The sequence below is a fragment of the Homo sapiens genome, chromosome 18 (genome assembly GCF_000001405.40).
Source record: "Homo sapiens chromosome 18, GRCh38.p14 Primary Assembly".
NCBI classification, from domain to species: Eukaryota; Metazoa; Chordata; class Mammalia; order Primates; family Hominidae; genus Homo; species Homo sapiens.
The window spans coordinates 31,454,095-31,479,940 of record NC_000018.10 but is presented as its reverse complement, the minus strand read 5'-3'; the positions used below and the strand labels follow the sequence as shown (position 1 = coordinate 31,479,940).

Genomic DNA, 25,846 nt, shown 5'->3' with positions numbered 1-25,846 from the left:
AGACCCAGAAGAAGATACGAGACAATGTGGAAATGCAAGAACAAGAAGGATTCTTAACTTTTACTTGTTTCTAAATTGTTAGTTGTATTGAAACTAGTCAGTTGAATGTGTCCCATTCACACTCTTACCTCACGTATGAAGGTCCTCAGGTAAAACTAAACCGATTTTGTCACTTTCGTTCCTTGAACTTTCTATGAATAGAAGAAGCTGGTAATATTTTTGGATTTTATCTACATGACTTTCATTTTCCTGGAATTGATTTGAAACATTTGAGTTAAGCCAACTACCATTCTTTACTCAATATTTGCTTTAATCCAGTTTCTTTTTCTCCCCATACTCCATGTCCAAGCCTCATTGATCAGATTTAAGAAGGAGGAAGGTCAGCCAGAAGAAAGTTCTGAAGCGTTGGAGGGACTTATTCTGTGGCATCTTTTAAAAGGAGACATAAGGACTTTAGCATTTACAGAAAAACAGTTCCACTTCTGGGGCTGATGGCTTTCACCAGTGACATGGTACGCATTTTTCATCAGGCTAGATTGTAAACATTACCTTCTCTTTACTCCAGCTTTTCTCCCCAAGTCATCTTAGAATGTCACAACTTTTGAATGTCACAACAGTGATCTCTCAGTTACCTGAGAGACAATTGCAACTTGCAAAATAAACAGTAAATGACTTAAAGCATCCAGTTAGTAAAGTCCCTCTGCCCTGACCTCATCCAGCACTTTCTCCTGCACTATGTCCACCTGAAGTCATCCCGAATCTTGACATACTTCCTTCCTGCCTGGAAGATGCAGAAAAGGAATCAGCTAGAAAAAATAGCTAAAATACTGATAAAAATACATACGTGAGTCATTTTATATCAGGGGTCCCCAACCCTGCCCCCACCCCCCAGAGTACCTGTCTGTGGCCTGTTAGGAACCAGGCCGTAGCAGGAGGTGAGCTGCGGGCAAGTGAGCAATCCAGCTTGAGCTCCGCCTCCTGTCTGATCAGCAGTGGCATTAGTTTCTCACAGGAGCGTGAACCCTATTGCGAACTGCGCATATGCGGGATCTAGGTTGCCTGCTCCTTATGATAATCTAATGCCTGATGATCTGAGGTAGAACGGTTTCATCCTGAAACCATCCCTGCCGCCGTCTGTGGAAAAATTGTCTTCCACAAAAGTGATTCCTGGTGCCAGAAGGGTTGGGGACTGCTGTTTTATAATCATATTTCTTAATAACTATTAATATAGAGAGTAGTTCAGCTTTTATTTATAAATTTATTGCCTGTTTTATTATAACAACATTATACTGTTTATGGTTTAATACATATGGTTCAAAATGTATAATACATCAAGTAGTACAGTTTTAAAATTTTATGCTTAAAACAAGTTTTGTGTAAAAAATGCAGATACATTTTACATGGCAAATCAATTTTTAAGTCATCCTAAAGATTGATTTTTTTTTGAAATTTAAAAACACATTTAATTTCAATTTCTCTCTTATATAACCTTTATTACTATAGCATGGTTTCCACTACAGTTTAACAATGCAGCAAAATTCCCATTTCACGGTAAATTGGGTTTTAAGCGGCAAGGTTAAAATGCTTTGAGGATCCTGAATACACCTTTGAACTTCAAATGAAGGTTATGGTTGTTAATTTAACCCTCATGCATAAGCAGAGGCACAAGTTAGCTGCATGTGCTCTAGACTGTAGAGCGAGCCACCGTTGAGAAGCAAAGGACAGCAGCAGGAAGAGCAATGGAACCTCCTCAGGACTTACCAGGCTGCTGCACAGGATCTAGCTTCTCCCACCTAAGATGGGCACATTGAAAGCCTTGTTGCAGCAGCACCCCCATCTGTGGAAGCACAGGCTGCCTGCACTTCTCCAGCTGCTCTAGCACCTGACTTCCTGGTAGTCAGGGTACCAGGGAGAGGGAGGAGCACCAGGGTGGGGGATATTTAGGGGACCTCTTTCCTTCAGGACCACACCCTTCTAGGTGAAAGCACAAACACTTGATTACTTTGCATTCCATCTGCAAAAACAAATTTAGGTTTTGAATATGGTGAAAAACGAAGAAAGGAAAATATAAAACTCTGTATTTTATATACAGTAAGGAATAATGGAGGCTGATAATGATCTTGTGATCAGCTAAGACAATGTCAGTAAGCAGGTGAGGTAGGGTGCTTTCTATGGGCAAAAGGGTGAATATCTTGAATGACCAGAAATGACTCGAAGAGCTGCATTACTATCATGGTAGCATGCATGAAGTGATACATCTAAACCTTTGCTAACCTAACATTATTACTCTCAAGCTTTATTATCCTCAAGGCTTAAATGGCTGTAGCTGTTTAATTTAAAAGCAAGGCTTAAAAAATAGAGGTTACTCATAATTCCCTTTCCATATCCCTTTTTGACTTGAAAATTATTTCACCAACTACTTTTCTGGAATGCTGCTTATAATACATATTCACAGATTGCCCTATGTGTTATTCTAGTCATTGGCCCGTTTTGCTTATAAAAAAGGCCATGTTTTGTATTCCTACAAAATCTGCAGACATTGTTAACATAATACACGTCATTATACATCATATGTATGCTACATCTACTCACTGACATTTAAAAAATGAGCTATTTTCAAAGACTAACACAGGATCTGTTACTGAGACGTGTAGGAAGGAGCTCAGTGTAAAATATTTTCTTTGGATAGATCCCTTCAAAGGGATTAAAACACACAAAATATTATTTATACTAAACTTTCTTAAATGTTCTATGATATTTCTATTTCAAAATTCTCTTATTGTGAGAATATGTGAAATATAGATGTAGCAAATTCAACACATAAGCTTATACCCCTTAGCTTGAGTAAAAGACACATATATGGCTTCCCAGCACCAAGAAGATGGAAGAAACTCTACTGCAACTACTTCCCTTTTTCCAAGCAGCTCAAAATGCTTTAGCAAATACCTTGTGATTCTTTTTTTTTTTTTTTTTTTGAGACGGAGTCTCGCTCTGTCGCCCAGGCCGGACTGCGGACTGCAGTGGCGCAATCTCGGCTCACTGCAAGCTCCGCTTCCCGGGTTCATGCCATTCTCCTGCCTCAGCCTCCCGAGTAGCTGGGACTACAGGCGCCCGCCACTGCGCCCGGCTAATTTTTTGTATTTTTAGTAGAGACGGGGTTTCACCTTGTTAGCCAGGATGGTCTCGATCTCCTGACCTCATGATCCACCTGCCTCGGCCTCCCAAAGTGCTGGGATTACAGGCGTGAGCCACCGCGCCCGGCCCCTTGTGATTCTTACATCATTATCAATGATATAAGAAAAGGCAATGGAGACAAGAACCAGCGCTCCTGCTTAATCCACTAAATCACATTGCATTTTAAAATGATAAACACCTTCCTTTGGCAGGGGAAAAATAGAAGCTTAAGAATGTTTAGGAAAATTTCCTGGCGAATATGATTTTAGGGTTTTGAAAAACTTTAAGATTTACTACAATTTGAATAGTACTTGAGAATTAGGAGTGACAACATATTGCTTTTGGGGTATGAACCCAAACATTTAATTTATAATCGTGATCAGTTTATGAGAGAAGCTAATAAGTGCCAAATTATTAGCCCAATACAGTGAGCTTTGCTATGCTATTTTGAATACTTTAGTCCAAAGATCCAGATTTGGTCAGTGTGGTATTCCAGCTCATTCTGGTCATATTAGACGGGAGCAAGGATCCTCTGTACAGAGCATAGTATGTGACCCTCGTAGCTGCGTTGGGCCAGCTAGGTTGCCAGGAACACTGGAAATGGGACAGATCACCCTTTCTGTCACTATCACATTTTGTGTGAGAAGTGGATCAAAGCCTGCAGTGGAAGGTTGCACGAGGGAACCAGAAGCCGAGTAAGTCTCCGTTACTAAATAGTTACCATGCTGCAGAGGGTCAGGGATGGAAACAGCTGGCTGGACAGACCCAGAGGTGGACAAAGCAGAAGCTCCTTGACTTCCTGACAAAGTCTGGCACTTAACAAATCCTGTCTGCTGGACTTCTATGGGATGGCCACAGGATTCAATCCCATAACCGCTGTCTTTAGAGGGTGGCTGAACTTCTTTGCCTTCACCATCAACACCAAGGCTTATCTCTGCAAGTTTTTTAAATTTGGGTCCAAGTGAGTCCAAGAAGCTGTCATCCAGGTCATCAGCAATAAAACTGCAACAACCCACGGAGCCCACAGGAGAACCAGTGGCATCTGCGCCTTCATTATCATAGATCAACAAGCAGTCATTTGCTTCCTGGCCATCGTCTTCCTCCGCACAGGCAAATGCTTTCTAAGACAGAGAAAAAGTGGGAAAAAATGAATTTTAAGAAAGAGTCAGTTGAACAATATAATACTGTTTGTAGAACTCATTTGGATTATGAATGCCCAAACTAGGTAATCCATAGAAATAAAGGACACTGTCTATTAACAATCTTGTTCAAAACATTATCTGGTGTTTGGACAACAGTATGGTTGACATTACCTCAAAATTGAGCTAGAACCTTTGTCTAGATTCTACAAATCTTGTGGGAGCCTGACATGTGACTGTAACACACATCCCACCTAGAAATATCCCAAGAGTCCTCATCTCAAACAACCCCTCCCTTTCTCCCCTGCCCTGCAGTCTTTCTTCAAACACAATATCACTCTTTGTCTGCTTGGATACTAGGTCAGACCTTGGCACTTACCAGTATTGATACCAAAACTCAATGTGAGATCCATTCTAACCGTGCCTCTCTGCCCACTAATCTTTGGTTATCAAATGAGAGGCAAGCATCCTACTTTTCAAAGTCTTCTTTGTTTTCATAACTATGTTCCTTTTCTGTTCTATGCTTCCTGACATGTCATTCCTCCCATCACTGATCTTCCATCCTATTCTTTTTGCCTCCCCTTTTTTGGGGGTCATTAATTCAGTGGTTCTTCAACTTTTTTAGACAGATAATGTGAATACTCTACCCCTCTCTCAGGAAAATATACACACAGGTATTTGGATATCCTTTATGATACAGGAAATACAAAATGAACTGCTTTGTATTCTTAAAGAAGATGCTAGAAATTCTCACATAAAAGAGATTTGCCCTCAATTGTTTGTTCAGTTGGAGGAATGAGATACTACTTGCTATATGCTCTCATGTTGTGGTTATCTACTCATTCTTCTTTTGTTATTAATTTGTTTATTTTAGAGACGAGGTCTCACTCTGTCACCCAGGCTGGAGTGCAGTGGTGCCATCATAGCTCACTGCAGCTTCTACCTCCTGGGTGCAAGCAATCCTCCCACCTCAGCCTCCCGAGTAGCTGGGATGGCAGGCATGTACCACTGTGCCTGGCTCCCATTCTTCTTTTGATCAGTGACCCGATTTTGACAGCTACCTTAGGTTATCTGTATTATTTTGGCAAAAAACAAACAAACCATTTTTTTCTTGCATTTTAACAAGCTGTAAATAAAAACTGCAAAACTGAAGTATATAATCAAATAAAAAGTTCTCTAATGTAAATAAGATAATCAAGCCACAAAGTTTTTCACCAAATTACCTGAGAAAAGTAGGAGTCCAGAAAATTCATGCTTATCGCCCCATCAGCGTAGTCCTTATTGGTTCCTCCAGTGGAATGCCTTGTTCTCATGGTTCCAGACTGCCCTGAGGAACAGATGCCAACTCCAGTGGCTGCTCCGAATCCTGAAGCAGCTCCTGACACTGTCCCTGTTGCAAAGCCTGCAGCACCTCCAGATTCAGTGGCTGCTCCAAGCTTAGTGGTCATTTCCATTCCTGAAGTGCCTTCCACCGCTGTGCCTCTGGCATACGTATTTGTACAAACTTCTAAAAACAAGGGAGAACATTCTGTAATATCTTATGCTGTTGTTTGTTGCATTTTTATAAAATGGGTCTTGGGTGTCTATAAGCAGTCACCATGCAAACAAGTAAGTGGGAGAAAATACAATTATATGACTAGAGGTGATAACATCCCACAATGTGTTATGTGAGAGTCACAAAGGAGGGCATATAAACGGGTGAAAAAGCTCTAAAAATATACTAATTTTAAAAGTGTACAAAGAAATAAGATTTTCAGTGACAACAGCCAGAAATAGAAAAGACAGGATATTTAGTACACAGTTATGGGAAGCTTCTAATGCAATGCTTGTTTGTTTTCACGAAAAAACATTATAGTTAAGCAGTCCTATGAGCTCAGTATGGAAACCAAAGAGGAAACATACGTAATGTAATCATGCAAATTAGCATGTCTTGGTACCTAAAGAGAATTTAACAAATCATGACTATTCAGCCTGTTACCTTGACATTATGCTTTCATGGAAAGTTACTTTTTTCTAGATAATTCTTTACATAGCTCTTGCTATGTAATTCTAATGGGAAAAGCAGGTGAGGAGTGGAGCATCTGATAAAGGAAGACAGTTACATATTTGGGGAAATCTCATGCGGATTTTGCAGGATGGACACTTGAAAACAATCTATGGAATTAAGCAAAACTTTAATATTAGGCATTAAGTATTATTGTTCTTTTAGTTCACTGAGTAGTTGTGGCACTCAGATAATATTAATGCAATAGCCACTTGGTAAAACCAAAGAAATAAACAAATTCACCTGTATGACCTGTATGACAACATAAGTGATCATGTCCTAGTATGACTGAATGCAGGAATTAGTAATTGAACTGAAATCAGGATACTGTTAGTTCTGGGGAAGAAAGAAGGGGAACAGGATCAAGGATGTGCACATGAGACTTTAACTGAAAATATGACTAATGTTTGGAAAAGACAAAGTTGGGTGGTGGATACATAGATGTTCGTTATATTTTCCCTTACATTTTTCTATATGTGTGAAGTCTTTCCTAATTAAAAAATTAGTAATTGATTGCCTGAGAACTACACGTCACTAAAGTTTGGAAAAAGTATAACAGATCTTTAGATATTGACAATGGTGGCATCAATGGATAAATTAACTTATTGAAGCCAGACATGTCAGGGAATTGACTAATATAAAAATATTAAAACAGCTTTTCTCCATTTCAGTGGTAACAGCTCCTGACATGTGCACACAGATGCAAATTATTAAGAAGATAGTTTGAACACTTCTTATTTTTTAATATTTACCACTTAACTCACCATTGCTTTCAAACATTTTATGTCCACTTACCAGAACTTTCCATGAAATCGGCTCCATTGGCTGTTACAGGAGGCACACAAATATTTGTGATTTCCTGCAAACCATGTGAAAAATAAATTCATTTAAAAGTGAACCAGATTTCAGAGCAATATAGTGACATGTGGCCCTTTGCAAATTTGTAAATGATAACATTACAAGAAGTGCAAATTCTTTCAGCGATAACCATTTCTGTGATTTGACATCTGAAGAGCTAAAATCCTAAAAGCCTCCATCTATTCAGCACTGACTCTGAAACTGAAGGTCAAGAAATCTCTTTGCCTCTTTTCCTATCTCAATGTAAATCAAACATTTTCTCTATGTAATTGAAATACATAATTTATGAACTGGATGCTTACCTTGTCTTCAGGATGGGCTCCTTCAATTCCCCACTGATGAATTGTTCCTTCTGAGCCATCAGGAACTGGGATAAAACCACCTGTCACTCCCCCAGTAGAACCTGCCCCACAGTCACAGGTCAACAGCAGAAGGGGGGCCACTAGTGAAAAACAAAACAAAACATCAGAACACTTGACTAATTTAGGAACTATTTAATGTGATAATTTTTCAGAAATGTTACAAAGAAAATACAGTATCTTAAATATTTGTAGAAAATTCCTAATGAAAACCAAAATTAGTTTCTACAAATGAAACTTGGTACAGTAAGCACACTAGAATTTCATGTGATTATGAAACTGAAGGAGACAGATCAGATCATTTCTTGTTGTTATTTTTTTGGTATATTTTCTTAAAATAGGCACTGATGTATGAATGAAAGTGGCTGTTTGGCTCCTCAATCCTTTTCCTTAATACATTTTTATGATTATTGCATTTATTTGCACATGTTGGGGCTATGTATATTGTGTCAGGTGAATACACAGATAAATATATGACCAGAATGGTCCAGATTTTAGGTGGGCACGATGGTGTTTTGGTAATCTAGTCTCTAATTATCTCTCAGTAAACAGTAATTAACCAGAAAACTCCCTCAGTAACTAGGGTGATAGCCTAATCAATGGCTGTCAATGCATTCTTAATTGTAATTTAAGAATTTCTTAGTTGTGGCTTAAGCTTGGAGGACTCTTCTGGCAGCGTAAATATCTTTCTGTGCACATCCTTGGCAATAAAGATTAATGTCATTCTCATGTGAACTGACCAAGAGTGAAATACTTATTCTTGAAAGCAGGTGTTTCCCACACTTTGTTGTCAGTGGCCCCACTGCCACCTCTGCCCTGCCAAGGCCACCTGAATCCTAATGTTTCAACTCTCTTCACTTAGAGGCAGCTTAGTGAGGGGTTTAAGCATGCAGCCTCCGAAGTCAGATTCTAGGGTTTAAATTTCGGCTGTACCACTTAACAGCTATGTAATGTTGGGCATGTAATATCATCCTTCTTTGCTCAGTTAACTCATCCATAAAATGGGGGAATAAATAGTATCTACATCATAGGTTGTTATGAGGATTGAATTAATATAGGTAAAGGCCCAACTCCTTAATACTATTTTTTTAGGGTTTAAGTTTCAACATATGAATTTTTTTGGGGGGACACACACATTCAGACCATAACAATTAATCTCCCAATCCTCTCCAGGGGCCACTGTAATGCACTGCACACTTGTCCTTTATTTTCCAGTCTCATGTCACAGCTCGAAATCTGACCTTCATCATCTCTCTTGAACTTTTACAATGACCTCTTAAGTGTTCTTTCCTTTCTAATTTACACTGTTATACTGTACACACTGTTGCCAGGGTTGTCTTTCTAAAATACAAATATGATCATGTTAGTCTTTTATTCAAATGCTTTTAGCAGCTCCTCTTTCTCATAGGATAAAGTACAAACACCACAGCATGTGTATGTAGCCCTTTCAAATTAGTCCCAATGCATTCTCTGTTGCTCCTTCACTTTCCACAATTTCCCCGCGCTTTAGCCTTCGAAGGCTGTGTGATTCCTAAAACAGAAAATACTAAGTGTTTTCTGGCCTTGGCTGATGCTGTCAATTTTTGGAAATGCCTTTTCCATTTTTTATACTGATTATATCCTAATCATTCTTCAAGGCTCAATTGAATGATTCCTCTATTCCGTGAAATGTTCTGTAATTACCCCTTTGTAGTAATTTCTATTACAGCTTTATCATGGTATTTTTCCCCTATAGTTAGACATGCATGAAAACCAAAATCAAGTTTCCTTTTCAGCTAGAAGCTAGCATAGTGATTCACATAGAGGTACTTAAAAATTTCTGGTTCTTGAACTTGATTAATACGATATTGAAAAACCAAATCTCTGAGTGTCAATTTCAGCTCTTAAACTAAATGGTGTATAATAACTTTAGAATAGTAAATGCTTTTGGAGAATAAGGAAGGGAAAAATATAGCATGTGTGGCAATTAGCTGTATCTATAGCAATTTATTTCTTTTTAAAAAAAGGGACCTGAAAAAATATTGCAAAACATTCATATCTGTTCAGTTGAAGTGATGGTTGTATGTGTAGTTGTCTACACATTTTCTCTACTTTTTGTGGTTTTAAAATTAATAATCATATAATTAATTTTAACTCTAAAACTGTGATTTTTATAATAAATTAAGAAAGTGTGAATTTAGCAAGGATTTCTCTTGTTTATACAAGAATTAGTCAGGAAGTTCTTTTAAATAGAGACCTCTTACAATCAAATACTATTTGATTTATATGATTTTGATTCAAATACAACTTTTCAGAAACCTATCTATTGAATAAATTTTACCTTTATTGGAAAAGGATACTTACGCATAGTTTTCTAAATGTGTTTAATAAACTTAGTTATATTAAATGTGAAAGTATTAAAGGGGATGCATATTCAGATGGCAATCTATTTTGAGGAAATGCTAGATGAAGCAATAACTTCTCAGAACCTAGCTATCTTAATAGCATATGATATTAATATTAATATCATATGCTATTGATTAATATTAGTGGGGGTTAATTAATTAATTAATATTAATAGCATGTGGTGATATCTTAATAGCCTATGATACCCTATTTGTATTTCCCTAACTTTGTTTGACTAGTGTTCTCTTTTTATCTTAGAATCTCATGAGATGTAATGAATATAGAGAAAACATCTTAGAAAGTGCCACACTCTTGGATAAAGCCATAATTTTGACCATGAACATTACTAACAGTGTGTAGAAAGTCTTCATGATTTGCTTTTCTCTTGATTATCTTGTGCTGTCTTCTAAATGTCTGACATATATAACTTGTGTTGCTATATGAATATAGACTGTTAGCAAGCGACATGTTACACATTTCAGATTCTTTCTGAAAATGCCATTTTCCCCTAGCTTTACCTATAAAACATCAGAGAATATTCTTTCCCCATTGCACAGATGAGCAGGGCAGCATGGAGGCCTTTGCAAATGAGGACACCTGGTCCAACAGAGAATGAAACATTGGCTACTCACACAGCAGCAGCAGGAGACCAAGGAGCAGCAGGCCGATGGCGGCAGGCCCCAGCCTCCCTGAGTGCGGCCTGCCATACCTGGTCCCAGGGCTTGTGGTTGGGTAAGAAGTTCCACAGATGCCCCTGTTGTCACACTGACAGACTTCCAGTGTCAAGCTGCGTGGCATCTCACACCGATTGTTCTGACTGTCTGTAAGTACCAGGGAGATGTGGTATACTCCAGGAGGTATCTGTTCCTGGGCTCTGAGGAGGGCCGAGGTAGCTGTAGAGAAAGAATCATGCAAATCAACAGTAGGACGAAGTGTCTTTTCAGTCTATTTTGTGTTGCTATAACAGAATATCACAGACTGGATAATTCATAAAGAAAACACATTTATTTCTCACAGTTTTGAAGGTTGGGAAGCTCAATATCAAGGTGTCAGAATCTGACAAAGGCCTTTGGACTTCATCATCCCACGGTGGAAGGTGGAAGGACAAGAGAGCATGAGAGCACGTGGGGGCTGAACTCACCCTTATAACAACTCACTCTTACTGTAATGAACCCACTCCCATGGTAACACCATTAATCCATGCATGAGGACAGAGCTCTCATGACCTCATTTCCTCTTACAGGTCTCACCTCTCAACACTACTGCAGTGGGGATTAAGTTTTCAACACATGAGCTTTGGAAGACCTATTCCAACCACAGCAGTGTCTTACACTCTTACTACTTATTTTCATTAGCAGAGTTAGTTGCCACAAACAATAGGGTTGATAATAGAGTGATGTTTGAGCAGTGATGAGGGCTATAATGGGTTCAAGTGGGTAAATCTGTCTACACCTGCCTCCTTGTCCTCTCTGTTGCAGGTAGGCCAATTATTCTCTCCCATGAAACTCAGTTCTACTCTGCTTTTCCCACTAAAGAAGATGGGCGACATCATTTAGAGTCAGGTACTCCTCTTCTGGGGCTTAACCACTCTCTTGTATGTCTGCACCAATCCTTGGACTTGTGTGGCCCTTTGAGTGTTAGTGTTCCTGACTTTGTGTTCTTGTGTTTTACTTATCAAGACTTTCAACTTTGGCTGCTACTACCTCAAGTGCTCTTCCTGGTTCTTATCCCGTGAGCTGCAGGTCTATGATATGGGATTTCCTTGTGGTGATGGCCTATTGCCTATCTGAGTCCTGAGCATAGACTGTTTTCTATCTCCCATTGCTATGTTGCCTTTTTAAAGTGGATCCCACGACAGTTCTTGTAAGGTTCAGCATTGCATTTGTTGAATCTTTTTGATCCCACCATATCCTTTGACATTGTGCCTTGCCCACCTAGTCCAATCACTGTTGCCTTGCCCAGCCACACCTGGGCAGGTATGTCTTGTGACACATCCCGGCCCTCTCTGATCTTTCTTTGGCAGCCTCTTCATTGGCCACGTATCCAGTAAACTCATTTGGAGCAAAATGCTACATGCACAGTTTGGAGATAGATCTTTATGTCAGAAGTGTGAGGGCCCAAGGAAAGATGACCATGAAGATCAAGATCCCTTTGGTAACTCTGGCAGTGGCTGCTACTTAGGACTGAAGGACATGCTTTAACAGCATGTACATTCATGAAAGGAAGCAAGGCTGGTTCAGAAAGGAGCTAGGGAAAAATGAGTTTACTAAGGATTTGAAGTGGTCTCATCGTCATTATAAAATCCAGAAAGGATGGAGATTTTAGGGAGTCTAATGTCTATTTCTATGACACTTCTGGAAAGCACAGACAATGTACAATGAGTATGATAAAGGTTGGGAAAGAGAAAGGATGAATTAGCTCCTCCCTGTTGGATAATGGGTTTGCAAATTTCAGTCCGCTATGCTCTCAATGTTCCTGACTAGTGATAGTGTAAGCGGCACTCCCTGTGAGCCTTGAGCAGACTGACTTCTTCATGCTACATGTCTGCTCATAGACTGCTCCATCAGAACAAGTTTATGTATTTAGTATTTAGAAATCTAAACAGCTCTGTGATAAATAGATACCTGACTTTTTTTTTTTAGATGGAGTTTTCACTCTTGTTGCCCAGGCTGGAGTGCAGTGGCAGGATCTTGGCTCACTGCAACCTCCACCTCCTGGGTTCAAGTGATTCTCCTGCCTCAGTCTCCTGAATAGCTGGGATTACAGGCATGCGCCAGCACACCTAGCTAATTTTTGTATTTTTAGTAGAAATGGGGTTTCACCATGTTGGCCAGGCTGGTGTCAAACTCCTGAACTCAGATGATCCTCCCATCCTGGCCTCCCAAAGTACTGGGATTCCAGGTGTGAGCCACCGTGCCCCACCTAGATGCCTGACTCTAATCTTTTTTGGGTGCACTATGGAAGTAGAAATAAACAGATTTAAAATGTTAAAATATCAAACGAACCCTAAAAAGGATTCAAAATAAAATATGAAATGGTGCTAACAGTATATCATTCCTTTTCTCTTCTGAAAAGAGAAGTAATTCACAATGCTACAGCCACATCTTCATTGCAAAGAATTTTTCCAGTTACTTTTGGAAGGACCTGCTCTTAAATGATCTTCCTTATTCTTCTGGAAATACAAAGGAGCAGTTTGCATTTATAGAAGCAACTTTACTGTTACTCACCATTGAGGGTTGTGATACTCCATACGGCAGGCAACTTTACAGGTTGATCTTCCAGTGCAAATGTATAGGGGCCAGTGTATCTATTATTCAGTGTTCTAGCGGAGACAACCACGGAAGGTGAAGAACTGCAAACTGCATCTTTTTCGAGGACAGCTGTTGGACAATTGTCATTGAAATCGGGTACTCTAACATATACCGTGCCTGTAGAAGTTTTACCCGTGTATTCTGTAAGAACAATGTTTTAGAGTTAAAGAAATGTATAGAACAAAGTTGTACAAAAAAGGAGAATCTTTTACATTTCTCTTTTCTGTAGCCAACTCAGTGTGTCTTCTCATGAAATACTATATTATCCTCAGAAGTAAAAATAGTCATCCTATTTCTGCATCTTGTAAAAAGCAAATTGAAATTTACCAAATAGGCTGATGTCTCTAACTATAATTAATTGAGAATTAATTTAATATGCTCGAACCCAAGACCAGTAAGATGATGAATTCACCAATTTCAAATAAAATCAGCACAAAAATAGTAACTTTCTTAAATGTGTTGATTTCACTTGTAATCAATGTGTGAAAAGTTTCTGCTTCTAAAGCACACATTTTTTATTTGGAATAAAAAATTGTATATTTTTATTACTCAAAATGTTAAAGTTTATTAAAGAAAAATTTTAAATGCTGAAAATAAAAAATAATGAAATAAAAATCTCTCTGTGGGGGCATTATGTGTCATTTCTGTTGTTACCCTTACTACTTCTTTTCTTGTTTTCCCAAATGGCAATCTTTTTGATACTTATTTCTTTTGGGGGGTGTTATCTTTTTTATTACCTTCAACATAAATTAATTTTATACTTGGGGAAACACATACACTCAATGAATATTATTTTAAAACATTCCAGAAGAGGAAATTGCATTGTTCAATGATAAAAGTACATGAGGTCTCTATAGGTACCTCACAAAAGCACCTGACGTTCAAGTTGAGATTCCCTGATGCGCTTTGTCTATGAATCCTTATCCATTCCCTCAAACCCAGGGATTTCTGTCAGTCAAAAAATTTCTGCTTCAACCACAGCAAACCACAGGGACCTAACACAGAATTCACTGGTTCAATCTCCACTGAGAAGTTGAAACTCTTAGTTTTCTCTCCCGGATTCAGCTGCCTCAAACTTGAGGCCCAACACTCCTAAGATAATTCTCTCTCTCCAGTGGTAAAGATAATATGTTGAATAATCATAATCATCTATGCATAAAGAAACATCAATTACGATAACATTCCTCTGAAATGATTCAAATATTTTTCTTACCATCTATGGCCAGAACCTCAGCTGTGATTGTTTTGTTAACTATGAAAGTAGAATCTCGGTTCATATTTTTGACAAATTTGATTTCAGCAGTTTTTGAATCAATCATTAGGTATCCACCATCGTTACGTCCCATGACATATCTGTTTCATAATATTAAAAAAATCAGTTTTCTTTCAAATGTGGAATGTTACATATTTAATGAAAATGACTCATTTTATATTTAGTATATTCATATTTAATATATGTTCACATTGAAATATGCTTTTATAAAAAGCAACAGAAAATTAACATAGCATAGATGACCATATTTCATAATTCTTTTTTTTTTTTTTGAGACGGAGTTTCGCTCTTGTTGCCCGGGCTGGAGTGCAATGGTGCCATCTCGGCTCACCACAACCTCTGCCTCCTGGGTTCAAGTGATTCTCAGCCTCCCGAGTAGCTGGGATTACAGGTGTGCACCACCACGGCTAATTTTGTATTTTTAGTAGAGATGGGGTTTCTTCATGTTGGTCAGGCTGGTCTCGAACTCCCAACCTCAAGTGATCCATCTGCCTCGGCCTCCCAAAGTGCTGGGATTACAGGTGTGAGCCACTGTGCCAGGCCCATATTTCATAATTCTTAAGCATATCTGCTATGCACAATAAAATAAAATACCTGTGTTCTTGCTCTGTATAATATAGCAATTATTTTGCATGGTGCCGTTATATTTTAGGCATATATGTCTTTGTAAGTGCTGTTTTATATGATAAAAACATGTTCTCATGGTGCACTTCTACTCCTTTGTAAGACTCAACTGTAAGTTTCCATGAGACATGTTCCCAATTTCTGTTGATAGGCTAAGGCATTCTTCCCTTGGTTTCCACTGTAACTTGTGCTTATGTTATCTTTGCTTCTAGTACAGTTAGATGATCACCTAATGATTTAGCTAAATGTTACTTTTTGAGTTACCCAGTTTCTTGTTTTTAATCAATGTCATATCTCTATTCTTGGCACATAATAGTTTATGTGTTATGTTGTGATAGCTTATAGATTAAAACCTCATCAAGAAATAGGATATAAATAAAAATAGTCTTACTTGACATTTGAGGCAGCTTTGTTAGTGTCCTCATCGATGGCTTGATATGTTCCCAGGATATAATCCACCAATTTTTTGCTACTTATGCCTTTTTGCACAGTAAATGTCTTGGAAGCAGGACGGAATGCAATTCCTTCTCTTACATTTATTACCTGAATTGTGACTGGGGTTGACTGAACTCGGTATCGAGAGATAACTGATTGGTGAAATTCAGCTTTGTTTTTGACAGCAATACTAAGTTTCACGCTTTGTAGTTGTTCATAATCTAGAGCCTGGAGAAAAAATAAAATTAGAAGGCAGTTTCACAAAAATACACTCCCGCAAACCCAGTAGATGATGACAGCACACTATGCAAGATGCTGTGAATGAATTCTCTTGTTTTTAAATAGCAAAACAGCTTCAGAAATTATTGTAATGTTGAGACAGAGAAAGCTTTAGGATTCTTAACTCATGAGACCTCAGTTTGGTACTAATAAGGGTACCTCTTTCAGACTAGAAAGACATCATCATAGTCTCTTTAGGCTATGAGGTGCAGTGGAAAGAACCCCAAGTTTGCTATGGTAACATGATTTGAATCCTGGTTCTGCTGCTTAATAGCTGTGTGACTCAGGGAACAATGTTTGTTTTCTCTGATCCTCAACTCTCCACTTCTGAAAAAAAAGCCTTACCTCATCAGGGTGTAGTGAGGACTGAACAAATCAAGGCCCCTAATACGTTCTTATAACTGGCAGTTATGGTCATTTGCAGAATCTTCACTGGATTTATGTACAATGGTATCTTTCCTGACTTTAAAAATTCTTAGGTGGGAAAGGCAAACTCTTTGTGGACTCATTTTCAGAAGGTCTTGCATGATAGCCATTTGTTTGATCCCCTTATTGAGGTGGCCCAAATCAAGGCCTGAGGAATCCCAGGATAACTTTTCTTCACTCACTAGTAAATTTTTCTGAGAGTGATGAGATAAGAAAATGCTCATATTGGTTACAACTGTATATCACTAAAAATGATTCAAGTAAGAGATCTGGATTTAAGTTTTAACTTTGCAATGACTGGCTTTGTGTGCTCAAGCATTTTCCAGTGAAGTGGAAGAGAAAGATGTCTAAACATGGAACTATAATACAAGGGGTAAGAGGCAAAAGAGATGATAGGGTCTATGTGTGAAAGCAAAGGAATAATTCTACTTAGGAGAGCTATGAAGGGTTTCTGAGAGGTATTCATCTAAGCTGAGTGTTGAAGGATGCCGGGAAATTATCCAGGCATAGGTGAAAGCAGTTGCAGGCTGAATACAGATAACAAATTGCCTTGTGAATTTCATCTTAAAGGGCTAGGAGCTAGCAACCCTGGCTGACTGTAGAGTCACCTGAGGAGTCTTAAGGACCCACTGCTGCCTGGGCTTCTCCAATAGTTCCTACACCCTTACTGTCAAGGGAAAGTTGCAGGTAACTTGAGTTGGTAATTAGGGTTGAAGGCCAGCTTCATAGCCAGTGTAGAGCCAGGGATGGTTTTAAAGAGAAGAGTAAGGGATCCAAATTGTTTTTAAGAAAAATGTGGTGGTGCACTGGTAAGAATGAGGAGAACAAAGTCAATGGAGACAAGAGGTAGGGATATCTATTAGGAGGGACTGCAATCATCTAAGAGAAGAGAGGAAAAGCCAGGCCAGGGCACAGGCAGTAAGGAGGTAGAAGAGGGTCAGACTTCAAAGACAATTTCTAAGGCTGTATGCTGTGAGGAAATGTCACAATTCAGGGTAAGGCCCACGTTTCTAGTTTGGGAGACTGAATGACACCAATACACAAGATAGAGAATAGCTCACTCCCAGGCATTGGTGGGAGTTTATAACAAAACCCTTACAAGTGGGGATGGCTGTGGCACTTGTCCCAAAGAGTACAGTAACAAAGGACTGCATGTACAGCTTTCAGCAGCCCCCTTGTTAAAGGATTATATGGTCTGTCACTCAACTGGATTTAAGGTTTAAATAAGGACGCTCTCATAGAATCCAAAATGCTGTACCAAGGGCCAGATGCGATGGCTCATGCCTGTAATCCCAGTACTTTGGGAGGCCAAGGCGGGTGGATCACTTGAGATCAGGAGTTCGAGACCAGCCTGGTCAATATGGTGAAACCTTATTTCTACTAAAACTATAAAAATTAGCCGGGCATGATGGCACATGATGCGGACCCTGCTACTCAGGAGGCTGAGGTGGGAGGATCACTGGGGCCTGGGAGGTGAAGGCTGCAGTGAGCCAAAATCACATCACTGCACTCTTGCCTAGATGACAGAGTGAGACCTTGTCTCAAAAAAAACAAAAACAAAAACAAAAACACCACAACCACAACCACAACAACAAAAAACAAAAACCAACCAACCAAACGAAAAACCAAAGTGCTGTACCAAGGAAGGGGCCCAGATCACACTCTCAGATAAGGAGTCTGTCATAGCCAAGCATATTAAAAGCTTTACCCAATTATTTATCTTTTATTTTGCAGATTTTGTTCATAAATTCCCATTTTGTAGGAAGAGTTGCCATTTATTCTCTATTGACTGTAGCTAATCCATTTAAAACCGATTGACGAATGGGCAAGACGTGATTCCATCCATTCTTATCTTGTCCTAACTTCAATCTGATTGTTGCAAATGAGATTAAGTCAAGAAATGTGTTTTGCTTTCTTGTGCTTAAAGTATGGACACCCATAATATATGACCATGTGCTTAAAGTATACATCATCACTCCCATAGCATGTTAGTGTGTTTGTGTTTACTATAGAAAGTTCAATAGCTTGGAATGAGTTCAAGATGTTAAGAGAGGTTGTCCTCAGGTAAAGCGGCTCTATGGGGATTACAAAAAATTCAATCTACTTTTATGTGTTTTCTGTAATAAAGTGATATTAACAAATAAATACATTTTATCTGTAGAAATGATCATTTTGGTTAATACAGAATTTTTTTTACCAATGAAGGGAAGTCAGACCTTACCTTCACCACTTTCAGGATGCCTTCATTAGTTCTAGGATCAGTTTGTATTTCAAACCAATTTCCTTCATTCCCAGAGGTAAAGAAATATACTGCAAGCCAATTATCTGTGTACTCTTCATCCAAATCTGTTACTTGAAATCGAAGTAATTCAGAACTTAAAATATTTTCTTCAATACGTGCTGAATACTGAAAAGGCGAGAAGCAGAATTAAAGACCTAATGACAGGTTTTACATGGAGAGATTATGTTTCTTCTAAATGGTAATCCTTATTTCTCAAATTATGTATTTCCTTCTTCTTATTACTGAATTCTTATATTTTTTAAAAAGCATATTTCTTTAAAGATAAGTGCAGAGAACTTAAATAAAAGCCAACAAACAGGCAAGTCCTGAATTAGGATTTCAAAGTATTAAATATATATCTAAATGATTCTTTAAGGAGCAATGGGTGTACCTGAGAGTCTCTAAACATTGGGAAGTTATCGTTGACATCTTTCACTTTAATATTACATTCACATTGAGTTGATAGTCCTTCTCCATCTTTGTCTGCACCACTCACAACCAGACGATAGCTGCTAGCTTGCTAATTTTGGATAAAAAATAAAGAAAAATAATTAATCCCAAAGAATTATAAATGGAAACTACTTGATTCCTATGGGTAAGGAGGTAGAAATATTCAATTTTATGTAGAAGACATTTGTGGGACTCTGGATGGTTGGGTGGAGGTCTTTAAGGGGCTAGGGCAGGTTTTCTGTTTTGTGAGCTTCTTATGGCAGGACTGTACTCTACCGTAACCTTAGAGCAAAAATGGGCAATGAGTAGGGTGGGAGTAATAAGCTCACTTATGGAGCTTCTCTGTTAGTCTATTGGGAAAGCCATTTGTACAAAAATAATATGGGGTCTGACCGGGTAGCCTGTGGTAATGGAGATAGAAGGTGGTGGTGGTAGGTAATGAGGGGGATTGGAGAAGGAGATTCTTTAGTGCTCTGGAAGCAGGGATAAAATTAAGAGAAGTCAGGAGAAAAAGTGTGATATAAAAGAAGGCTTTATTCCAGACAGAAATTTCTCCCTTCATCTAAGACACTTGCTTCTCCTCCATCACATGAGGAATTAGCTGCAGTTCAATCTTTGTCCATGTATGTCTATGTCAATGCCTTCTTTCATTGCCCCTATTTAACTTCCACTGGTATGTTCAGGGTACAACTGATTCTGCAGGTGCCCGGTACACATCTCGCCTCACCAGAATCACACTTAAAAATGCAAACAATTTCCCTAGATTAGCCAAGTTAAGTACTGAGAACCTCTTTTCTTTTTTAATTTTCGGGTAAAATGGAGTCACCTCTCTTGGTTTTCTTATAATCAAACCCTTTAATCTTGAATGTTCCCCCAAGTGCTTTGCTGTACCTCTCGGTCAAGAGAATTGGTCAAAGTACGGACTTCCCCAGTGTTTCTGCTTAGGAGGAACATGGGTGTGCCTGCTGGTTCCTGAGAGACAATTTTGAAGGCAATTTTAGAATTCAAGTGGTTTGGTTCATCTGCATCTGTGGCATTTAGTATCATCACCAGTGAGTCTAGGAATACAGGAAAACGTTTATTAAAGAATATGTAACAATTAACATTATGTTTACTTTAAATATTCCAAACAAGTTCACATTGATGCTAATTTTTAAATATCCTAAAATCATCTGTATGTTCAAAAAATTGTATATCACTTGTGATACCTCTTTCTGTCTCTCCCAACCAGGTAGAACTGTGCTTCCTTCCATACAAACTCTTCGATTCTCTCTAAGCCTTACGTTTGCTGAGATTGAGGCTATATTCTATCTCAATTTTCTCCCTTGATAGATTGTCATAATTCTCCCCTTTCCACAAATTATCCAAGTAATGTGAGTGTGTCTCTGTCCTTTATAACCTGAAAGAGCCCAGCTGATGCATCCAGGCTACCCAAGGCTGCCTGTTTAGCTTTGTGACTGCCAAATGCTCATATAAATTGTATATATAGAATAAGATACTATTGACCTGATAACCAGACTATAACTAGAAATACAGTGATAGTAAATAATTAGCTCAAATACACATTTTAGAAAGGAAGACCCAGATTTATCTTAATGAATTTTATTTTTCAAAACTACTGATTAAACTAAGAGCATAAATTAGTTTATAAGAATGACATATTGTAGTGGGACTCATATTTGAAAGTAGATAAACTGAAAGTGGTAAGTACTGTAAAAGACTTACTTGAGGCACTATTTTCTTCAATTTCACCCATGAAAATTTGTTGTGAAAATACTGGAGGATTATCATTAATATCCAAAATTTTAACCGTTAGTATAAGTGGTTTCTCTACATCTAGTCCTTGGGCATTTAGAGCCCGACATGTGATCTAGGAACAGAGGGAAAATGTGGAGTATTACTCTGCAATCAGTTTTCATACTATTAAAACTTGTATAAATAAGGCCTCTGTTGGCATGGACATCACTTTTGTGCAAAGAAGAAATGTTTCCCCAAAGGGTAGACAAAGTGGAAAAAGGTGCCTGCTCTGGGCAGACCAACTGGGCAAGTTGCCCCTTCCACCAGGCTAATGCTGTGTCATGGCAAACTGAAGCACTTGGCGTGCTAGATTTCAACCCTCACTCATGCACCCTCTGCTGTGTTCCCTCAGGCGAGGCTCTGTGGAGGGACTAATATTGTTATTTGCTGGTGGACTGATGCATGTACTGAACTCTCCTCTAAATTTACCAGTAGAAAACTGTCACTTTCTAAAGCGATGGTATACAAGGAGAAGGGTAGCCCAATGTTGAGGACCCAAACTTACCAGGAAGCTTGGAGTTTCCTCCCGGTCGACTATAGCTGTTATGTTAATATCTCCAGTGTTTTTGTCAACAACAAAGATTCCAAAAGGCGGCTGATCGATTCCCACTCCAGAGATTCGGTAGGTGATTTTCTGGGTTGCTTGGTAATCTGAAGTAATCTACAGCCCCAAATACCAAAAACGTTGAGGTGACCATCACTCAAGCCTTTCCCTCTCCACCCCCACTTCCATAGTCTAAAGTCATCTGTTCATTCGATTCACTCTTTTTGACATTGTGCCATTTACTTTTTGCCTTGATAGATACTAGGAATATGAAATAAAATCAAACCGTTGTTTTTGACAACCAGCCTGAACCAATGATGTGCACTAATCATTTTAGTGTTAGAATATTTGCTCAGACTGTGGCCACATGATAGTGTTAAAATGTTAAAAGAAAGTCAAAGTCATTTAATATTGACAAGGCTACTCCTGAAGGCTCCCTCTTTACCTGACAACATTAAAAAACAAAAGATATTTATTTAGTTTAAATAGGGGGAAGTGGAGAGACAAAAAGGGAAAGAGATTGTATGGTAGGGTTAAAATATGTATTAAAATAATTTACTTATTATTATTGTAATTTTAAAGCTTTTTAACATGAAAAATGTGAAATATATGTAAAGTTAGAACAGTATAACAGGCTGGGCGTGGTGGCTCATGCCTGTAATCCAAGCACTTTGGGAGGCCGAGGTGGGCAGATCATGAGGTCAGAAGTTCGAGATCAGCCTGGCCAATATGGTGAAACCCCGTCTCTACTAAAAATACAAAAACAATTAGCCGGGCATGGTGGCACACGCCTGTAATCCCAGCTACTCAGGAGGCTGAGGCAGGAGAATTGCTTGAACCTGGGAGGAGGAGGTTGCAGTGAGCTGAGATCGCGCCACAGCACTCCAGCCTGGGAGGCACAGTGACTCCATCTCAGAAAAAGAAAGAAAGAAAGAAAGAAAGAAAGAAAGAAAGAAAGAAAGAAAGAAAGAAAGAAGAAAGAAAGAAAGAAAGAAAGAAAGAAAGAAAGAAAGAGAAAGAAAGAAAGAAAGAAAGAAAGAGAATAGTATAATAAACCTGATACATCCTATCACTGAGCTTCAACAGTTATCAATACATGACCAATCCATATTTTGCTCCCAACCATTTCTGTCTTATACATGCATTATTTTTCCTATTTGTTTGCTAGACTCTGTATCCAAGTAAGCCTTCTATATTAAAATTGGTCAATATGTCTCAATTCTTTGTCTCAATTCTTTTTCATAACCCTAGAAGCTACCTTCCTTTCTCTCTTTCTCTCATTATTATTATTATTGTACTATTTTGTTGAGGATACCAGTTCACTTGTTCTGTGGACTCCCCAGTCTTCATTTTGTTATTTGGAATTGCCGTATTATTTTAATTTACACCTTATACATTTATTCTAAAAACTCATACGCTCCTGTTGATATAACTTACCTTGGCAATTGGGTTTCTTTTTGAGTTATCTTCTCCTTCTCTGCAGGGTTTGGCAAATTTCACCCATTCACGTTTTTGCCTTCTTTTAGCTTGTTGCATAGTCATCTCTTCTTCATCATATTGACCTTTAGTCTTATGTAAAAAGGGATTCCATTTGTTATGGAAATTAATGGCAATTTTTGCTTAGAATATTGATTACAGACACCTAGTTGAGGAACCCCCTATGTTTCAAGATCACTAAGACTGTTAGGTATCTAATTAGCTCTACCTGATACTTTGTCAAGCAAGTAATAAATGTTAAATAACTAAAATAACTACAAAGCTATGTGATTTTTAATATTAGCATTTAGTCGTATTTTATATTTTCTTTTTATACTCCACAGTATCTTACTGGGCCCATAGGGTTTGACCAGCTGATTTGTTTAAGATAAGAAGAAAAGAATGCATGAAATAAATTATAATAATGACATTTATGGATGACTAGTTTTAAAATATTGTTATCAGTTATTAGAATTTTAATTTTATATATTTTCACAATTAAATTATTGAATAATTTTAGAAATTAAATATTCATTTCTACTAAACACAATTTAATTTTTTTTTAAACTAAACTATTATTTTAAGTACAAAAACCTTTTTCATACTTTACCTCTATTCGCAATTCTCCATGAACCAATATGACCACCTGCAGACATTTAAATAAAGTCGAATTAAATGTGAATTCTTCAAATAAGGAATTATATACAATGAATAATCCTGATTATTATATTCTATTGTTCATATTGTGATTTGTTTCTATTTCAAAAGAAGTAAGTTTCAAGAAGCCATAATCAAAGGGTAAGTTCCTACCAGGAAAAGGAATATTACTGTCAATATAAACACATTCCACCAGTTTTTTAATTGACTACAGAATTTTGATGACATAAAGAAGAACCTATTGGACTTTGCAAAAACTATGCCTAATAGTCAGTTGCAGCAACCACACAATTCTTACCTGGCTGCTTTATACACCGTTCCTGGAAGCTATGAAAGTCATTGCTTTGGGAAACATTGGTAAGCACCATTGTGAAATGCTTCAGAAAGGGGCCACAGGGGATTATTAAAAACCTTCAGCCACCCAACTGATTTGTAGGAAGGCAATCCTGTATTAGTCCTCTACAATTACAGAACATTTTCTTTAATTGTACAAGTGAAAAGAATGGAATGGAACCAGTCTGGTTTAGAGAACAAAACGTAAAAGATGAGGATATGCTATTCCAATCACAAACCCTGTTTGCAGTGAGACATGGATCTGTTCATCTCTGCTCTATTACTTCAATTTAAATATTGAACTTAATTTTCAGAGTGGCCCCAAAAAATTAAATGACAGTAAAATGAAGCCATGTAGGCTAGGGTCTTCACCTTCTCAAGAGCATATGAGACATTCATCTGTGTCATTTTTCATCTTCTGTTCTGCCTGGCATGCATTACCTCTTTCTACTCCACCCACTTAAATATTGCTCATCCTTCCAGATCCATCAAGTTCCAACAACCTCCATGAAATTGTCTTTACTGATGTCTCTTTTTCTGAGTTTGTACAACACATATTCTGTACCATGAAATTTAGCCCATGATGGTTTACCACAGTTTATTATTTCTTGTTTTATGCACATGAAAGAATTTCTGTGCTAAGCCAGGAGTATTGTAAACTTTCCAGTTCAGTGCTATTAGGTTATTTTTTTTTTCTTGTAACCCTCACAGGTGCTTAACAAGTATTTGCTAATCCACTGATTATCGGATGAATCTGGTCGGAAAATAATGGTGGAAAATAAGTCAGAAGAAAAAAAAAACTAGAAGAGTAATAACAGTAGCTAATGTTTATTGTGTAGTTTCGGTATCAGCTGCTACTCCTAGAGCTTTATACTTACTGTTTTATGTAATACTTACAGCAGGCACCTGAAGGAGATTCTAGTATTATAATCCCTAGTATACAGATGAAGAATTGGAGATGCAAGGGAATGAATACTTTGCCCTAGCTAATGGCCATAATAGGATAGCGACCGCAGTAGCCTAACTCCAGAGCATGTACCTCACTACTACTAAATTCTTTTTTTTTTTTTTTTTGAGACGGAGTTTCGCTCTTTTTGCCCTGGCTGGAGTGCAATTTTTGCCCTGGCTGGAGTGCAATGGTGCGATCTTGACTCAATGTAAGCTTCGTCTCCCGGGTTCAAGGGATTCTCTTGCCTTAGCCTCCCGAGTAACAGGGATTACAGGCATGGGCACACCACCACACCCGGCTAATTTTGTATCTTTAGCAGAGACGGAGTTTCACCATGTTGGTTAGGCTGGTCTCGAACTCCTGACCTCAGGTGATCCACCCGCCTTGGCCTCCCAAAGTGCTGGGATTACAGGTGTGAGCCAACTACTGCTAAATTCTAACCAAAGTTGTCATAAAGAGAAAAAAAAAAAAAACAAACTAATGGTACAAAGAAAATTATATGACAGTCAATTTAGATTTCTATTTGGCAAAAGACTATGGTTGCTCTTGAAACAATGTAGATTGTTTATTTTCTAGGGTTATAATGAATAGACTAGTCCAAGTCTGAACCAAATGAGTAATTATGTCAGACATAAGATGTCAGGACTCTTCCCTTCTAGACATTCCAGCTGAAACCTTGATTCCAAAGAGTGCGTGTTCAAATTTGTCATGGAAAAGAACCATTACTTGTGGTTATAACATGTCTCAAAATTATTTTCCAACATTGTTGCTCTTTTTAAAGCAGTACCTTGAGTTACTTGGTAGAAAAGACCAGATAAATGTAGTAACTGCACAATTCCTTTCTCAGCGCATAAAAATGACTCAGCTACACATGAGAGGAGGGATGGGCCAGGCAGGCTCCCCTTTACAGGAAAACTGGAGAGTCATCCCGAAAATATGAATCATGCTTGGACTAGCCCTACAGAGAATGATTCTTCTAATACACAATAAGGTAGAATATTTGTTTTCCCAGGAAGTAGGTGATGGGAAACATTTCTGAATATTGCAATGAT

The 25,846-nt window shown here is 38.2% G+C and overlaps 1 protein-coding gene across 2 annotated transcripts in view; it reads right to left on the bottom strand.

The window, feature by feature from the left end:
• Window positions 1-1,238: 1,238 nt before the first annotated feature.
• The window catches only part of DSG3 (desmoglein 3), a 30,962-nt gene continuing 6,354 nt past the window's right edge, over window positions 1,239-25,846 (bottom strand). The window contains exons 2-16 of one of the 2 annotated variants that reach the window (NM_001944.3): window positions 23,466-23,501; window positions 22,817-22,948; window positions 21,341-21,496; window positions 20,764-20,908; window positions 19,930-20,096; window positions 18,980-19,108; window positions 18,529-18,714; window positions 15,559-15,830; window positions 14,484-14,623; window positions 13,187-13,411; window positions 10,592-10,852; window positions 7,518-7,657; window positions 7,153-7,216; window positions 5,537-5,820; window positions 1,239-4,295 (exon numbers count right to left, since the gene is read on the bottom strand). In NM_001944.3, the coding sequence (NP_001935.2) occupies window positions 3,681-4,295; window positions 5,537-5,820; window positions 7,153-7,216; window positions 7,518-7,657; window positions 10,592-10,852; window positions 13,187-13,411; window positions 14,484-14,623; window positions 15,559-15,830; window positions 18,529-18,714; window positions 18,980-19,108; window positions 19,930-20,096; window positions 20,764-20,908; window positions 21,341-21,496; window positions 22,817-22,948; window positions 23,466-23,501 (2,952 nt within the window). In that variant the 3' untranslated portion in view covers window positions 1,239-3,680. The remainder of the gene's footprint in view (window positions 4,296-5,536; window positions 5,821-7,152; window positions 7,217-7,517; window positions 7,658-10,591; window positions 10,853-13,186; window positions 13,412-14,483; window positions 14,624-15,558; window positions 15,831-18,528; window positions 18,715-18,979; window positions 19,109-19,929; window positions 20,097-20,763; window positions 20,909-21,340; window positions 21,497-22,816; window positions 22,949-23,465; window positions 23,502-25,846) is intronic. The other variant, XM_011525850.3, reaches the window with a different exon arrangement.